This window comes from Homo sapiens, chromosome 4 (assembly GCF_000001405.40).
Source record: "Homo sapiens chromosome 4, GRCh38.p14 Primary Assembly".
NCBI lineage: Eukaryota > Metazoa > Chordata > Mammalia > Primates > Hominidae > Homo > Homo sapiens.
The window spans coordinates 152,638,483-152,656,744 of record NC_000004.12 but is presented as its reverse complement, the minus strand read 5'-3'; the positions used below and the strand labels follow the sequence as shown (position 1 = coordinate 152,656,744).

Sequence of the window (18,262 nt, the reverse complement as noted above, 5' to 3'; positions counted from 1 at the left end):
TCTCCATGTTGGTCAGGCTGGTCTTGAACTCCCGACCTCAGGTGATCCACCTGCCTCAGCCTCCCAAAATGCTGGGATTACAGGCATGAGCCACTGCGCCCGGCCTCTGAATTTACTTTCATAGGGGAGGAAAAAGTTCTCCCCTATGAAAGTAAGGTGTTTCTTTGGTGTTGGTTAGGTAGAGTGCTTTGGCTTTGATTCTGGGTATGTACATTAGTGTAGTCTCCATATGATTTATTCTGCTGGAACCAGTGCCAGTAGTATCTGTGGCTTCCCCAGCAGCTTAGGATGTGGTTGTTAGTGGAGGCTGTGGTGAAGTATTGCTGGGGACTAGGATACCAGGTGGGCCAGTCTTCAGGCCCCAGTGGTGACAGGGGTGGGTTGAGCATATCTGTCCTTGGATCCCAAGGCAGTATACACTGGCACTGGTGTTAGTGTGTCCAGGCAGGCTGGTTTTTGGGCTTCCAGGTGTCTTGCTTGGGTGCTAGAAATGGTAGTGGTTAGCCAGGCAGGTAGGCAGATTGACGTGGGTGTTGGCAGTATCAGTGGTAGGACAACACGCTGGGTCCCAAGTACCCATGCTAGTGTTGGCAGTGGTTGCAATGGACTGGGCAGGCCAGTCCCCAGGCCTGTAGCTGGTACATGAGGGTGGATGCCAACTATGATGGTGGCAGCAGAGTGGGTAGTCCCAACCTCAGGCATCTGGGAGGAATGCTGTGGTGCCAGTGGTGATGGACTAGACTGGGCTGGGCAATCACCAGGCCCCAAATGGCACACTCAAGTACTGCACTGGGAGAGAGCTGGCCTGTGCAGACCTGTTCTTTGACTCTCTGGTGGGGCATGCAGTAGCTGGCTGTAATAGGTAGGGGTGAAGCAATCCCCAGGCTGCTGATAGAAAGCTCAGGTGAAGGCAGCAGTGACTACACTGCTGCCTGCTACTGCAGAGGATGGGATTGCTTTCAGTGGGAGCAACCATAGGCAGCCAGCTGGGGCTATGCTTTGCTCATGCTTTGGCCCTAGCAGCAGCAGTTTATAGCAGCAATAGCTGAGGACAGTGGAGTTTGTCCTTGAGGCACATAAACATGTGTGAGCGCCCCGCTGCTGGCCAGGGGTGGGGGGAGGGGTGCTGCCAGCGGCTCCTACCTTGGCCCTGGCAGCAGCAGCCAGCAGCGCTGGTGGCTGCAGGCAGGAGCTCCAGAGACATGGAGATTCAGGGGCTGTTGGGCCCTAGGGCAGGATACAGTCTGGTGGGGGCTGGGCCCTCAAAGTGGCACTGTGCTGCAGCCACTAGGGCTCAGGGGTGTGTGGGACTCCGCATAAGGTCCCTCTCTGGAGCAATGCCATTGCACAGTGTACAGGCGCTCTCAGTGTTAGTCTCAGGGCCTGTGAGAGTTGAGGGGCTCTCCCGTGGCTAGGCTGCAGGAGTCTGCAGTGGAAATATGGACCACTACCCTTTCCCCACATTGGGGAGCTTCTCCTGGCTCCCAGCCAGTCTCAGCCAAGAAGGATGCCTTATTTCCCTCTCCTTCCGTGCTTTAAGTGTTGTCTATTACTACTCTGTTGAATTCCTGTGTTCTCCCTTAAATGATCAATTCAAAATGTAGCTTATCTACTCAGTATTTTTGTTATTTTTTGTGAAGAGGTGACTGCCAGATGCATCTAGTCAGCCATTTTGAAGCCCCTCCACTCTTCAAACATTGGTAGTTTTTTTTTTCAATCCTGCCTTTGGCATATACACATGAGAAACACCAGTGAGTTTACTCTGTAGTTTGTAATTGATTCTGATGGTTTGGGGTTGCATTTACTAAAGGGATTATCAAATGAATTCCCTGATGTGGGAGACTGAAAGTATTTATTCATACAATCAACACAATTAGATTCTTACTGTCTTAGCTCAGATACCATAACAAAATACCACAGACTGCAAGACTTAAAACAACAGACATTTATTTCTCACAGTTCTGGAGGCTGGGAAGTTCAAGATCAAAGGTGCTAGAAGATTTAGTATTTGGTGAGAACTCTCTCCCTGGCCTGCAGTCACCACCTTTCCGTATCCACATATGGCAAGGAAAGAGAACTCTGGTTTTCTTATCTTCTCATAGGAGCAATAATCCTGTCATAGGGTCCCCACTCTCATGACCTCATCTAAACCTAATGACCTCTCAAAGGCCTCACCTCTTAGCCCTAATCCATCACATTGAGGATTAGGGCTTCAATATATGAATTTGAGGGGAATGCAAACATTCAATTCATAGCAGTGACCAAACATTTTTATTGTTTCAACCAAAATCAGAGGACTCCATTGTCATGGGATTATGAAGATAGATGAACTATTGAATTGGCTCTGCAATGTCCAGTTTGATCATTCTGTAAAGTAATTGCCTAACCTATACCGCAGAGTGTGGTTTAAAGCAGCTGACTTCTGTATTTGCATAGTTCCTTTCACCTTAGAATAACTTTCTTGTAAATTATCTCATTTGATAAGTTTTCTGTAGCATCAACTTACGAGGTATTTTCCTCAGTTGGCCCCTTCTGAAAGGTAGACAACATTATACGATATTAGGACAAAGACCTTCAGCTTATCTTACCATGACTACTGCTTAGACAGGTAAGGAAAAGTTTTTCAGATAGTCATCAAGTCAGTAGTCCTTTCTCATCCTGATGGTTTTTATTTTCCTTTTCTTTTTTCTTTTTCTTTTTTTTTTGAGATGGAGTGTCGCTCTTGTTGCCTAGGCTGAAGTGCAATGGCGCGATCTTGGCTGACTGCAACCTCTGCTTCCTGGGTTCAAGCAATTCTCTTGCCTCAGCCTCCCAAGTAGCTGGGATTATAGGCATGCACCACCACGCCCAGCTAATTTTTGTATTTTTAGTAAAGACAGGGTTTCACCATGTTGGTCAGGCTGGTCTCGAACTCCTGACCTCAGGTGATCTGCCCACCTCAGCCTCCCATAGTGCTGGGATTACAGGCGTGAACCACCATGCCCGGCACAGTCAATTCATTTTCAAAGAATTATTTTCCATTGATAGGTAACCTTTTATTTAAATATTAGGACACAGACAGGCGCAGTGGCTCACACCTGCAATTCTAGCACTTTGGTAGGCTGAGGCGGGTGGATCACTTGAGGCATGGAGTTCGAGACCAGCCTGGCCAACATGGTGAAACCCTGTCTCTACTAAAAATACAAAAATTAGCTGGGTATGGTGGCACATGCCTGTAATCCCAGCTACTCTGGAGGCTGAGGCACGAGAATTGCTTGAACCCAGGAGGTGGAGGTTGCAGTGAGCTGAGATCATGCCACTACGCTCCAGCCTGGGCAATGGAGCAAGACTCTGCCTCAAAAAAAAAAAAAAAAATTAGGACACAGAGTGCATTTCTTTACATCTAAAAGTGCTGTATGGCATGTACTTAATTTTAGTAAATGTGAATTTAAATTTATTCAGACATTTTGTTAAAATATTATCATACCCTATAGGAGATGTCCTGTAATATCACATTACTTGGCTTGGAAAATCACCCTTAACATGAGGAAGCTTCCGAATCCACTTTGCTTAAGCGTATCTAAAATGTCTGGTCAATGCAAAACTGCCTACCTTTGTGCAAGGTTTTTCTCTGAGCTCTGATTCCATATTCAATACACTCCCAGCTTGAGCTTCATTTATGTTAAATCAATGTTCTGTGTCACACTTAGCTTGGAGGCCAAGTATAGTGGGTCAAATTTATCACAGAATGTATCTAGGAATAATTTAAAAATCATTGACAATATAACATACTAACTTTGTCTCCATGGAAATTTCAATTTTGTATCTATTCCCACAGGTAATTATGAGGAATTAGAAAACTCAGGAGATACAACTGTGGAATCTGAAAGACCAAATAAAGTGACTATTCCAAGCACATTTGCTGCAGTGACCATCAAAGAAACATTAAATGCAAATATAAATTCTACCAACTTTGCTCCGGATGAAAATCAGTTAGAGTTTATACTGATGGTGTTAATCCCATTGATTTTATTGGTCCTCTTACTTTTATCCGTGGTATTCCTTGCAACATACTATAAAAGAAAAAGAACTAAACAAGGTAAATATTTGGTGTATTTCCATTTCCAGAAAATTGCTTCATGTGTTAGTGAACAATCAATAAAACAAAATATTCTTTGCTTTGATACAGAACCTTCTAGCCAAGGATCTCAGAGTGCTTTACAGACATGTGAGTATTATCCTAAAACCTGCCTACAGGTGGGGGTGGGATTGGAGAAGGAGCAGAGATGTTTTAAAATTAAGCAACAAGGACTACATATAATAGTAAGTGATAAATAATACATTTCAATGAAATTTTCCAGAAGTGAATATATGCATATTCCTTTCTTTAAAAAAAAAAAAAGTTTAATTGAATTTCAAAATACAGGCACGCCTTGTTTGGTTGCACTTTGCTTTATTGCACTTTACAGGTATTGCTTTTTTTTTTTTTTTTAACAAATTGAAGTTTTATGGCAACCATTGCCTCAAACCAGTCTATTGGTATCATTTTTTCAACAGCACATGTTTACTTTGTGTCTCTGCATTACATTTTGATAATTCTCACAATATTTCAAATGTTTTCAATACTACTATGCCTGTTATGGTGATCTGTGATCAGTTATCTTTGATATTACTGTTGTAATTGTTTTGGAGTGCCTGAAACCATGCTCACAGAAGACAGTGAACTTAATTGATAAACATTGTGTGTGTTCTGACTGCTTCACCAACAAGCCATTCCCTGTCTCTCTCCCTGTCTTCAGGCCTCTCTATTCCCTGATACAGAACAATATTGAAATTAGGCCAATTCATAACCCTACAATGGCATGTAAGTGTTCAAATGGAAGAAGAGTCACATATCTCTCATTTTAAGTGAAAAGCTAGAAATGATTAAGCCTTGTGAGGAAGGCAAGTTGAAAGCTGAGATAGGCTGAAAACCAGGCCTCTTGTGCCAAACATTTAGCCAAGTTGTAAATGCAAAGAAAAAGTTCTTGAAGGAAACTAAAAGTGCTACTCAGTGAACATACAATGATAGGAAAGCAAAGCAGTATTATTGTTGATATAGAGAAAGTTTCAGTGGTCTGGGTAGAAGATCAAACCAGTCACAGCATTCTCTTAAGCCTAAGCCTAATCCAGAGCAAGGCCTTAATTCTCCTTAATTCTACAAAGGCTGAGAGAGGTGAGGAAGCTGCAGAAGAAAAATTGGAAGCTAGCAGAGGGTGTTTCATGAGGTTTAAGGGAAAAAGCCATTTCTATAACATAACAGTGCAAGATGAAGCAGCAAGGACTGATGTAGGAGCTGCAGCAAGTTATCTAGAAGACCTAGTTCAAATCGTTGATGAAGGTGGCTACACTCAACCATAGATTTTCCATGTAGATGAAACAGTCCTCTGTTGGAAGAAGATGCCATCTGACTGGGCATGGTGGCTCACGCCTGTAATCTCAGCACTATGGGAAGCTGAGGCAGATCATTTGAGGTCAGGAGTTTGAGACCAGCCTGGCTAACATGGTGAAACCCTGTCCCTACTTAAAAAAAAAAAAAAAATGCCATCTAGGACTATTAATAGCTAGAGAGGAGAAATCACTGCCTGGCTTCAAAGCTTCAAAAGATATGCTGACTCTCCTGTTAGAAGCTAATGTAGTTGGTGACTTAAAGTCAATTCTTGTTTACCATTCTGAAAATCTGACAGCTCTTAAGAATTATGCTAAATCTACTCTGCCTGTGCTCTGTAAGTGGAACAACCAAGCCTGGATGTTAGCACATTTGTTTATAGCATGGTTTACTGAATAATTTAAGTCCACTGTTAAGGTCTACTGCTCAAAATACAAGATTCCACTAAAAATATTACTGCTCATTGACAATGCACCTGGTCACCCAAGAGGCCTGGTGGAGATGTACAAGGAGACTAACGTTTTCATGCCTGCTGATACAATATCCATTCTGCAGCCCATGGATTAAGGAGTCATTTTGAATTTCAAGTCTTATTGTTTAAGACATACATTTTGTAAGGCCATAGCTGCCATAGATGGTGAGTCCTCTGATAAATCTGGGAAGGAATCTTCTGGGAAGAATTCACCATTCTAGATGCCATTAAGAACATTTCCGATTCATAGGAGGAGATCAAAATATCAACATCAACAGTATTTTGGAAGACGTTGATTCCAAGACCCATGAATGACTTTGAGGGGTTCAAGACTTGAGTGGAGGGGTCACTGCAGATGTGGTAGAAAGAACAAGAGAACTAGGATAAGAAGTGAAGCCTGAAGATGCCATGGAATTGCTGCAATCTCATGATAAAACGTTAAGTGGCTGAGAAATTGCTTCTTCTGAATGAACAAAGAGTTTTGTTTTTTTTTTTGAGATGGAATCTACTCCTAGTGAAGATGCCATGAACATTGTTGAAATGACAACAGAGGATTTAGAATATTCCATAAACATAGTTGGTAGAGCAGCGGCAGGTTTTGTGAGAATCGTCTCCAATTGTGAAAGAATTCTATTGCAGATAAAATGCTATCAAACAAAGCATTGTATGCTACAGAGAAATCTTTGTGAAAGAGAGTCAATCAATGTGACACATTTCATTGTGATCTTACTTTAAGACATTGCCACAGCCTTCCCAACCATCAGCAACCACCACCCTGATCAGTCAGCAACCATCAACATCAAGGCAAGACCCTCCGCCAGAAAAATAATTACAACTTGCGGAAGGCTCAGATGATCGTTAGCATTTTCTAGCAATGAAGTATTTTAAATTAAGGTATATACATTGTCTCTGTAGACACAATGTTGCACACTTAATAGGTTACATTGTAGGAAAAACATAACTTTTTATGCATTTGGAAACTAAAAAATTAATGTGACTTGCTTTATTGCAATACTCACTTTATTGCAGTGGTCTGGACCTGAACCTGCATATTTCTGGGGGATGCTTTTCTACTGCTGCCATCTTTGACCCTAATCCAGATGAGGATCCTGTATAATTTTAGCCAATAAGCCAGTATAACATTTCCCATCACTGGGGAAAGAGAAAGGCTGATCAAGGAGTGAGTCAGATTAGGGTTAGGGATGGGAAGGCTAGAGGCCTTGGGGTCATCACCACCAGAAGAGCATTCTTTCATCTATATTTCTGTTACAGATTTTATTTTCTCCCCCACCCCACATCCCAATTTGATCTTGAAAAGTCCTGGAGGAAGCATTGTTCTTATTCCCATTGAAGCTATGCTAACTTTTATAATCAAATTCTTCAACTGTCTAAAGATTACTAACATCAATCCGAAAACCAATTATAGAAAATTCCCTCAGTCAGAGACCCACTTTGAGAGTATTCAGTTGTGATTCAAGGAGCATCACGTGCTAGGAGTCAGGGTAGTTCTAGGTCTAAAGCAGACTTGGGTACTTTTGGCTTGTGCCAGTAAAACTCGCTCGGATTCGATTTTTAAGTTAAAGCCTTTATAGTCTTTCCAAAAAGTTACTCAAAGGATAGGAACGTCTCTAATACAATACATAGTCATACATGTATACAAAACTCACTTTATGTCCCTCACACCCATGACAGGGCACCTCTGGCTTTGGGGCCATGCCCTTGTCCCACATGCCCACCTCACTGTCTCTGTGCCAGAGGAATCTTTCACAGTCAGCAGATGAGGCAAATGTGAGCTGGGGAAGAAGCCCCGAAGAGTATTTCCTTTCATGGCAGAGGCCCATATAATAGATTCCAAAGAAGTGGGAAATACATGTTTCTCCACTGCTTGAAATTTCAGGACTTCCTAATAACATGGTCATATGGAGGCTTCTTTCTAAGCTTAAGAAAAAAAAGCAAACAGAGCTTTTTAAATTTTTTAAAATTCAGGAAAAGTCATAATTTCCTTCCCCAAACCATGACTGGTTTTACCTAATGGACTCAAGGGGTGGGGGGATGTTGGAGGTATCCACTCACATGGTGAGGCTCTTAGGCTCCAAATCCAGAAATTGATTTTTCATTGAATTTCATTGTGAAAGTCTCAAGGTTCAAAAGCCATTTACAAGCGAGAGCCAGCCTCAACCTCAGACATGGTCCATGCATCCTCCACTCTAACAACACTTGAAGTATTTGCTATTCCCAGAACTTGACTTGACTTTCAGGATGCCTCCATGCCTGGTTGATACCATTTCTTCTGTCTGGAATTTTCTTCCTGTCTGCTTGGCAAACTGCCATCCCTTTTTCCAGGGCCCAGGTCTGTTTTTGTTTTGTTTAAGAGACAGGGCCTTGCTCTGTTACCCCGGCTGGAATGCGGTGGCACAATCATAGCTCACTGCAGCCTCAAACTCCTGGGCTCAAGTGATCCTCCCACCTCAGCCTACAGAGTAGCTGGTACCACAGGCCTGTGCCACCATGCCTGAGTAGTTTTTGACATTTTTAAAAAACGTTTTGTAGAGATGGAGTCTTGCTATGTTGCTCAGGCAAGTCTCAAACTCCTAGGCTCAAGTGATCCTCCCACCTCAGCCTCCCAAAGCACTGGGATTACAGGTGTGAGCCACCACGCCCCCCTGCTAGGGCCCAGTTTTTAGGAAGCCTTGAATAATCCTCCCCTAGGAAAAATTAATTACCATCTCTTCTGTGCTCTCAGAATACTTTGTTCACACTCTTTGTTCACAGTATTCACATTGTCATAAGTTGGTGACTTGTTTCCCTTCCTTCCTTCCTTCTCTTTTTTCTTCTTTTCTTTCTGGGTGATGTGGTCGTTAAGGTCCAGGAGAACCAAGAGCTAGTCTTATTTGTCTTGTGTGACAGTGTGGCATTGAGGTTGAGAGTCCAGACTCAAACCACACACACTGCTTGGTTGGCTTGCACTTCCTGGCACCGTGACTCTCTGATTAAGTTTCTTCATCTGTAAAATGGGCAAATTCAATACCCACCTCATAGAGTTGTGAGAATTAAATGGTTTATATAGGCAAATCACTTAGAAAAAATCAGTACCTGGCATAAGTGCTAAGTGCTAGCTTATTATCATCCCTTTACCTAACTCAACGCCTAGCCCAACACACACTAGCTGCTTGTATATGTTTGTTGAATAAGTGACTTAATTAAAGAACATTAGAATGTTTATTAAAGAACATCTACGCTCAGAGGGAAAGTCAAATTTGTACATTATCCTTACTAAAAATTGGTACATTATTTTTACCTTAAATATGCCTAACTTTAAAAAAAACAACAGAGAAAACTTAGCATTTCAAAACAATTGGCTTATCACAAAAGTTTTTGATGGAGAGTTTTATTTGAATTTTTTTCTCTTATCAGCCAATGCTTTAACACAGACGTGATCACTAACTGCTTAACAGATGGACAACTTTTCAGAAAAACTGAATGCTAAAAGTTAATAAAAGCAGAATATTTACATGAGCAAAATTTGATTTTTTTTCAGGTAAAATACAACTATCATGGAAGGTCATACCAGCGTTTTGCTTGGAAAGCTCCCACAGAAATGCTTTATAGGAGAGCATGGACACCTGCACACTATGTCCCCTGGGAAGTTAGAAGCAGACATACTGTTTCTTACTGCACTTGGGTAGAGCCTGGTCTGTTATACTATACTAGGAAATAAGTCTTTAAATTTGACAATGGGAGAGGACTTGGCCAAAACTTTTAGAACACTTCATCTGATTGGAAATTACTTTTTCCTTTGGGCTTGTCCATTTCATGTTCAGGGAAAGGGAAACATGATGTAGTAACGTGATGTTCTGCTCTCATTCTTCCTAGACCTCCTGGTATGAAATTTGCAGTGTCTTGATGTGTGAGGTCTCTCTGAAAGAGCTGCAGGGAAAACAGCGGGCGATAAACTACCCCTTTAAACAGGCTGTGGCTACATGATGCCTGGCTTACTCAGTAAATCTTCTGGAAAGAGACTCTTTCTCTTGCTCACTGCTCAGCGTGGAAACAAGAAAAGGAAGCCAGAGGCTCCTGTAGCTCCTGCCCTCCCCTAGCCTCCACCAGACAACCCCACTATCGAATGCACAGAGGAGAGGATCTGAGAGGAGAGTACTGTCAGGCTAAGTGGGGGGGAAGTAGGAACTGAAGGAGGAGGACAAAGTGGGTTGGAGGAGATGAAATGGAAGGATTGTTGGAGGGAAAATGGAATAGGGGTTTGAGATGGAGCTTTGTAAGAGCTGCATTTGCCTCCTGGTTGCAAAGGGAATAGGTGGCTATTCATAAATATATATAGGCCAGGTGGAGTGGAGCGGGCAGGGCCTGATTGCTGAGGACAAGTAATTGGTCTTCCTCCTGGTTTAATGCTCTGCTCTTTGTGTGCCCTCCCAGATGTTTTTCTGTTGCCATGGTGGCTGGAGCAGAGGTAATAGCCATGGAGCAGGGAAGATGAGGCCGTAGAAAGCTTTTTGCTCTGTTTTCAAACTGATTACAGGAGCTTCACATTTGGTGCATCTGGAGCACTTTTGTGATGGCTTTTAAAAGTTTTCCTTCATCTGCTTGCAGGCTAGCTTTTGCTCACCCTGAAGCCTGTGGGGAACCCGGATTATAAAGATATATCCATGCCCACAACGGTGGGGCCATGCAGCCACTTGCTGTCTGGGAAAATAGTCAGGGGTTTATTCAGCAGGGGAAAAGGGAGAGGGAGGAGGAGGGAGTGACAAAACAGGAGGAGCTTTACGGGTCACCTGCAGGGATGTTCAATTGTGTAGGAGCTTTATTTATATTAAAATTCCTTAAGGAAATAGCCTTTATATTTTAGATAGAAAGTGTGGGTTTGTGGTGTCTGTGTGTGTGTGTGTGTGTGTGTGTGTGTGTGTGTGTGTGTGTGTATTCTCCTTTCCCCCATCTAAGTTTCTGAGGAGTCAGGCATCTGCAGGAAGCTTTAGATGCCTACTGGAGGGCAGGAGGACATAGCCTGCAGCTCCTGGAAGGCAAGCGGTGATGGCATGAAACTTACATCTGTGCCCAGCTTTCCTGGATTAGCAATGCCATTCAAGCTTGCCAACCCACAGGAAATTACAGCAGCTCACTGCTGCCAGGAACTCAGTTCCAGGTGTCTGCTGGTTGTGTTCCTTCACTGAGGACCTCCATTTCTCCAGGACAGACAATAGGAGGCCTTTAAGTGCCAAGGATCAGAAACCTCTGACTATTTGGTGGGCCCCTACAAAGTGGTTTGCTTTTCAATAGGTTTCACATGATGAATGGTGCAGCAGGCCTATGCTATCCACTCAACATCATTGCCTCATTTCTCTGGATGTGTTGGTTCTCCTGCCAAATGAAACAGGGCTTCAGCTGGGACATCAGGCTCCAATTCTCACCACTTGTTCATTTGGAGTCTGATGTGCATTACAGCCATTTTGTAAACAGTTACCTGACTCTCACCTCAACCAACAGGAACTAAAAACAGGCTTGTTGGAAGTTTCACTATGCTAAGTCTGAAATATTGGACATGAATTGAACCCCAGTGCTGGACAATTGAGGTTAACACCTAATCATTTATTCCACTGATATTGACTAGGCATTTACAAGGTACTGTGGTAGCTGGCTCAGAGCTGAGGGGATACCACGATAAATAAGACAGACACGATCCCTGCCCCTTTGTACTTTGTCTAGTGAGAGAGACAGACAGAAAAAAAAAAATCAAACAGACGGGTTGACCAATGAGAAATTGTGGCCAATATTATGAAAGATGCAAGCAAGGTGCTGAGCTGGGGAGCAACAGGAAAGATGGGCCCTTCTTTAAATAGAGTAGGTGGGGAAGGCCTCCCCGAGGAAAGAGTATTTAAGCTGGGACCCTGAAGTTGTGAGGGATCCAGCCATGCCAAGAGCAGGGGTAAAAGGAAAATTCCAAGGGGAGCCCTTGATGGAAGATCCCACATCCTCCACCAGGAGTGAGGCACAGTGTCACAGTGTTCAGCATGGTGTATCACAGGAGATGAAGCAGCAGCCTTTAGATCTGGGACATTTTACTGAAGGAGGCCAAGGAGCAAGCCCTCTTGTTTCACCCTCCCTTGCCTTTCCTTACCAATGTTTTCCTCTTCTTGTGGATGTAAAAAATAAAGACGGATGAACATCTGGTCTGAAGTGAGCGTTCTCAGCAGACCATCCACATCTAAAAGAAAGCAGATTTCACACGGATTAGGACCTCGTTTTAATATGGCAATCCACACTTCTTTGACTCTAAGTTAATGATCGCTCCTTTAAAAATGTTACTTAATGTCATTTTGCTCTCTTTGTAAAGGAGACTTCAGCTGTTGTTGAAATTAAAAGTTGTTACAGAAGAACAAAGCTAACATGACCTTTATGTTCATTTCCTTTTAGATGAACTGGGAAGTGAAAACGTGAAAGTGTAAGTTTTCCCTGCTGCTTCTGATCCACCTGGGGTGTGAACAGCAACTGTTAAGGTGGACAGCTGCCTTTTCAGGTGTTTTTGTTCTGACATCTTGCGGGACTCTCCTGCTTCCCAGGCGGGGTTGGAGATCCTTGGCAGCCTGAGGGAGGATGTGCTGGCATCCCCAAACCCTATCCAGCGTGTGAGTGTGATCTGGGCAAAGACAGCTTGGCATCTGTTTTATTTCATTGTCCTACATTCAGAAAAGAATCCTGACTGCTACCAATTTCAAGTGCATAGCAGTTAAATATTCTATCCCTAGCTGTATTTCAAGGACATTGGTTCATTTACTCTGATTAGAAATTTTATCACCAGGAAAGATACTTGAGCTGGTATTTAGCAGGGAGCCCTGGTCGAAGCAGAAGTTCACACAGCAAGAACCCCCAGGGATGGGAGAGAGAGAGGAGGAGAAGGGAAGAGTGGGAGGAGCAGGAGGAAGGGAGAGGAGGGAGGGAAGGAGGGGTGGGAGAGAGAAAAACAAGCCTCCACTCAGAAGCATGTTCTGGGGTGATGCCATATCCTCCCCATCTTCCAAGCAGCCTCCTGGTTTAGAAACTTTATCGCTTCCTCTACGCAGTGTACCGCCTACGCTGCTTTCAGAGCTGGTGGTCCATCCTTCCCCAACCCCATCTCCACTAACCACGGACTCTGTCCCCTGACTGTGCACTTTGAGCTTCTGCAAGTGAGGGCGGTGAATTTCTGAAAGCAACTGCTCCATTTCTCCAAGAGAGAAAGGCCTGGGAATTGAAGGGACAGGTGATAACTGTAGCCTGTTGACAGTGGCCTCTTGACCTGGGGCACTGATCAAAAAACCCCAAGGAACAGGAAGTGAAATTAAGCAAGGCTAAAATGCTTCATATGGCAACTCCCCGGAAGGGCCTCACCCTGGGAGCCTTGCAGACTTGACTTTGCACCTTCAGGGGAGCAGTCAGCCTCCTGGGTTCCCTTTTTTGTCCACTTGTTGGGCCTGTGGGCACCCCACTTTTGGACCTGTGATAAATGTATGTTTGTTTGTGTGGTAGCCTTTCTTCCTATTAAAGTTTGGTAGTTTGGAATAGGGCAAGCCCCCAGGCTTCCCTAGAGCATAAGGCACTGAATCAAGTTCATCTTCCTCAGGATCAGCATTCTAGTCTCTTTCCAAATGAAATTAGGCATCTTTCACATTTCTTTCTAACAAGTCTTTTGCTCTCTATTTCTAGCCCTATTTTTGAGGAAGATACACCCTCTGTTATGGAAATTGAAATGGAAGAGCTTGATAAATGGATGAACAGCATGAATAGAAATGGTATGTGGTAACCTAAAGTTGTTTTTTTTCTTTCCTCTCTAGTAACAGAAGGCTGCAACAGCTTTATAAATATCTCAATAAATCCTGGAGTGAGACAGAAGAACCCAATCCCACATTAGATCTGGTACATGCAGATAATAAACCTGGTCTGACAATACTTAAATATTCAGCTTAATTGTTGCCACTTGTTTTTATTTCTGTACAAGTTGTTGAAATGGTCTTTTTGAAGCAGAAAATGGTATTTTATTCAAGAAAGGAAATCTCTGAGGCCAAATGATCTGGAAAAAGTTAGCATCTGGCATTACCTTATACATTACAGAATTTAAAGATCTACAATTTTAAACTGACTATGGATATAAAACTTTATCAAATGTAGTATCCATAGATCTGTGCTGTTCAACGTAATAGATAATCACCAAATGTGGCTATTTAAATTTAAATTAATTAAAATTAAAATTAAAAAATATTGAGTGTTTAGTAGCCAATGGCTACTAAGTGGACAGTGTAATGTAGAATATTTCTATCACTTTAGAATGCTCTATTGGACATTGCTCATGTAGATGGTGATATACATACCCCATATAACAATTTCCAATTGATATCTGGCAGTAATGGAAGTATATGTTCCTTACTTTTTAGTAAATCAATAATGGGACTTTAAAATGATGACAGCTGCTTTTTCTTTTTCAAATTCCCTTTAAAAATTAATTATTTTTACTACTTAGATTAAATGAATAAAACCCAGCATTATCATGTCATTTGTATTTTTTACCATTTATCTTAAAAAAATACCCTAGGGTCTGTCAAATTCAACACTCTACAGTAGAGTTAGAAAATTCAGAGACTGGTTATAAGAACTATTACTACCAGGCCAGGCACGGTGGCTCACGCCTATAATCCCAGCACTTTTGGAGGCCGAGGCGGGTGGATAACCTGAGGTCAGGAGTTCGAAACCAGCCTGGCCAACATGGTGAAACACCATCTCTACTGAAAATACAAAATTAGCTGGGTGTGGCACATGTCTGTACTCCCAGCTACTAGGGAGGCTGAGGCAGGAGAATAGCTTGAACCCAGGAGGCGGAGGTTGCAGTGAGCCGAGATTGTGCCACTGCACTCCAGCCTGGGTGACAGAGCGAGACTCCATCTCAACAAAAAAAAAAAAAAAAAAAAAAAAAAAAAAAAAAGAATTATTGCTACCAGAGGCTTATCAAGGTGTGATTTCAAAAAAGAGCCACTCAGCTAACTTGTACAATTTCTAACAGTTTTTCATATTGAGGAAAGAAGGACTCTGTAAAGCCATTCTATTTGAGGATGGGGCGGGTCATTGAGATAGTCCTTCAGGAGTCTCGTTTTGTTGTTTTTCAGTTGCTAAAAGTAATATGCATACATAGTAGAATTTGGAAAATGCAAAAAAAAAAAAAAAAAAGGTAGAAGAAAAAAATTCACCACAGAAAGGCAATCTCTTCTTGCTATGTTGTTGTATTACGTTTTGTGCCAGAGATTTTGTGAAATATAAAATCATGATTCTGTCATACTCACTAAAACCAGAAAACTGGAAAAGGCATTTCTATTTGACAACTAAAGCTGAGTTATTTTGACACATAGGTGATAGAATCAAAGAATTTTTTTGCCCTTAAAAATAACGAGTGGTGTAATAGAAAAGAACTCATGACCATAGGAAGATCAGCTGTTTTCCCACTTTACCCAATTCTTTCCTACCGTGCAATCTGATGGAAATCATTCTGCAGACACGTTGGAACCTCAGGCGAAGCCATCTTATTCCACTGTCTATCCTGAGACATGCAGATTCTAGCTTTTGGAGCACTGGGGTGCTGCAGGGACAGAATAACCAAGCAGTGATGAATTGTGTCCTTTCCAGTGTCAGAGGCATGTTGAAGTTTTGCATCTGTGTTATTAGTGCTTTTTCCATTTCAAGAGCCTTGACATCATTAATCTTTTCATCACTATCACTCCTTGGTGAGGCCATTTTTGTGCAAGTAACCACGCAGATCAGAGAACTATGGTATTTAACTGTATCAGGTTTGTGGATAGAAAATACGATTTCAGTAACTAACAATGAGTTTGCTTTTATTCTGTCCTAGCCGACTTTGAATGTTTACCTACCTTGAAGGAAGAGAAGGAATCAAATCACAACCCAAGGTACTTCTCATTTCTACCACAGATTACATGTATATGGCGGGGGGCGGGGGGATTGGGAACCAGGGTGGAACACTTTTTGCTTACCTCCTCCGTGCCTATAATTCGTATGAGATCATTTACGCGGCTGGATATGTGCATAGTGTGGAGAAGAGGAAGTGTGTTACAGAAAATAGAAGGCCACAAAGTAAATATCCTAGGACTCTTTATCTTTAGAAATAAATGAGTATTGACATTTTCTTGCCCTTCTAAAGAGACACTGTTGCTTCAGCTTCTGTTTTAGTCATAAAGCTTTCCAATTATGACAAACTGTAGGTTTGTTTACCTTGGATAAATAGATGTTTGGTAAGGAAAACAGATGGAGGCGACAGTCTTAAAGTGGGTAACTGTAAACTAGAGTGAGAAAATAAATGGGAATTTTTAAAAAATGTTCCATTTTACCACTAGGTGGCTCTGGTTGATAGAAAAATTTTAGTGCTTTGGGGTTTGGGTGTATAGTTTAGCATTCCACAATCTCATTTTAAATTATATTATCTTTTGTGAGGATAGAAATGACCACATTTGGGGTGTTTTGATTAGAGAACTGTTTTGTCAGGACATGGGAAGTGTTCTAAGGAAAAAGGTTGGATGGTTCAGAAGGTTGGGGACTGGCTCTGCAGAGCTCTGCTGTGACCTTGGAGGTACTGAGTTGTTGGCAGCAAACACTCATGGACACCCGGAGAGAAGAAAACTTGAGCCTATGCCTGAGATATCACACTTCTGTTGGAATAAATGGAATAAACCTTCAGGCAGGATAAATCCTCTCCCTCCATGTTCACCAGAAGTCTGGTGCCAGTCAGTCACTTGTCACCAGGCAACCCCTGAAGCCTGAGCATCGCGAGGGAATACTGATTATTAGGCAATGGTTGGGGGCAGTCAGATGTTTATCTTCGGACCCTTTTCCTGCGTCTCCCCCCTAAACCTCACTTAAGAATTCACCATCCCAAATCTCTCCTCACATCACACCACCACAGTCTTACTCAGACAAACCTCAGCTCTGATGCCAAAGTCTATACCTATTGTAGATTTAGGTCAATATCACCACCCTAGGCATTTTCATGTTAAGATTATTGCCAGTTCAGGAAGGATTCTATCCTATTTAAAAGAGATTCCAGGTCATGCTTGGTGGCGCTTGCCTGTAGTCCTAGTTACTTGAGAGGCTGATGTGAGAGGATTGCTTGAGCCCAGGATTTCAGGATTGTAGTGAGCTATGATTGTACCACTGCATTCCAGCCTGGGCAACAAGCAAGAGCAAGACCCTGTCTCTAAAAGAAATGGGGAGAGAGAGAGGGAGAGAGAGGGGGAGAGAGAGAGAGAGAGAGATTGATTAACAAGCAGGTGGAAGAAAACAACAATGCCAGGGGGAATATTACAAAGGAATATTTTCCCCATGTTTTGATCTTACCTGGAAATATGTAACTATATATGTCTGGTATAGGGCTCAGATCACTACTAAAACTCCATAAATATCTTAAGTATCTTATTACTCTATCACTGATGAGCAACCTCAATGATGCTAAAAACTACCCTCAGTGGTTTTTACATTCCTGCCTTTTGCTCTTTGAAATTGTTGGCAACATGGAAGAAGCTTAACATTACAGAATTGTATGGCAGTGAAATCTTCTTAAAAATCAGATTTTTGGCCAGGCAATGTGGCTCATGCCTGTAATTCCAACACTTTGGGAGGCTGAGGCAGGCAGATCACCTGAGGCCAGGAGTTCGAGACCAGCCTGGCCCACATGGTAAAACTCCATCTCTACTAAAAATACAAAAATTAGCCAGGCGTTGTGGCGGGCACCTGTAATCCCAGCTACTTGGGAGGCTGAAGCAGGAGAATCCCTTCAACTGGGAAGGCGGAGATTGCAGTGAGCACTGATCACACCATTGCACTCCAGCCTAGGCAACAAGAGTGAAAGAAATTCTGTTTCAAAAAAAAAAAGTCAGATTTTTGAAATAATGAGAAAATGAGCTAGAGCCTTCACATAGTTAAATGATTGTTTTAAAAGGGAAGGTCTACATTCCACTGTGGGTCCAGAGCTGTGTGGCATTCACAGGATGGCTGTCAGGCCTTCACTTTATGCCCTCTCGTAATGCCAGCACCAGCATTCGAGAACCAAGAATGGCAAGTCCCAGATCTTTGTACCACTAGGCACTTTCTGATTACTTCAAAGGTTATTATGATATTGCAAAGTTAATTTTTTATTCATTAAAAAATCTAAGAAAAGTACATTGGATTTAGAACAAAGCCCAGAACAAAGTAAGTTCTCAATAAGCACTGGTTATTGCTAGTATAATTATTAGGAAGTTAGGACTGATGTACAGAAACTCACTGCCTTTATACTAAGACCCAGCTCACTGGATTAAAAAAAAATTCACTTCCTTTATCCTAAGCCTGTATCCTAAGACCCA

The 18,262-nt window shown here is 42.4% G+C and overlaps 1 protein-coding gene across 4 annotated transcripts in view, besides 2 other annotated features; it reads left to right on the top strand.

Moving 5' to 3' along the window:
* Window positions 1-18,262, top strand: part of TMEM154 (transmembrane protein 154) — a 61,370-nt gene that overhangs the window by 23,253 nt on the left and 19,855 nt on the right. The window contains exons 2-6 of one of the 4 annotated variants that reach the window (NM_152680.3): window positions 3,818-4,078; window positions 4,169-4,207; window positions 12,303-12,330; window positions 13,572-13,657; window positions 15,760-15,817. In NM_152680.3, coding sequence (NP_689893.1) covers window positions 3,818-4,078; window positions 4,169-4,207; window positions 12,303-12,330; window positions 13,572-13,657; window positions 15,760-15,817 — 472 coding nt within the window. Of the gene's footprint in view, window positions 1-3,817; window positions 4,079-4,168; window positions 4,208-9,417; window positions 9,562-9,752; window positions 12,066-12,302; window positions 12,331-13,571; window positions 13,658-15,759; window positions 15,818-18,262 lie in introns of those variants that run through there. The other 3 variants (XR_001741158.3, XR_007096383.1, XM_011531716.4) reach the window with 3 other exon arrangements.
* Window positions 12,257-12,316: an enhancer, noted in NCBI's record as "active region_22037". NCBI's record gives its function as "activates an Ori minimal core promoter by ATAC-STARR-seq in GM12878 lymphoblastoid cells {active_cell/tissue: GM12878}" and the evidence as "EXISTENCE:reporter gene assay evidence [ECO:0000049][PMID:35858748]".
* Window positions 13,462-13,531: an enhancer, noted in NCBI's record as "active region_22036". NCBI's record gives its function as "activates an Ori minimal core promoter by ATAC-STARR-seq in GM12878 lymphoblastoid cells {active_cell/tissue: GM12878}" and the evidence as "EXISTENCE:reporter gene assay evidence [ECO:0000049][PMID:35858748]".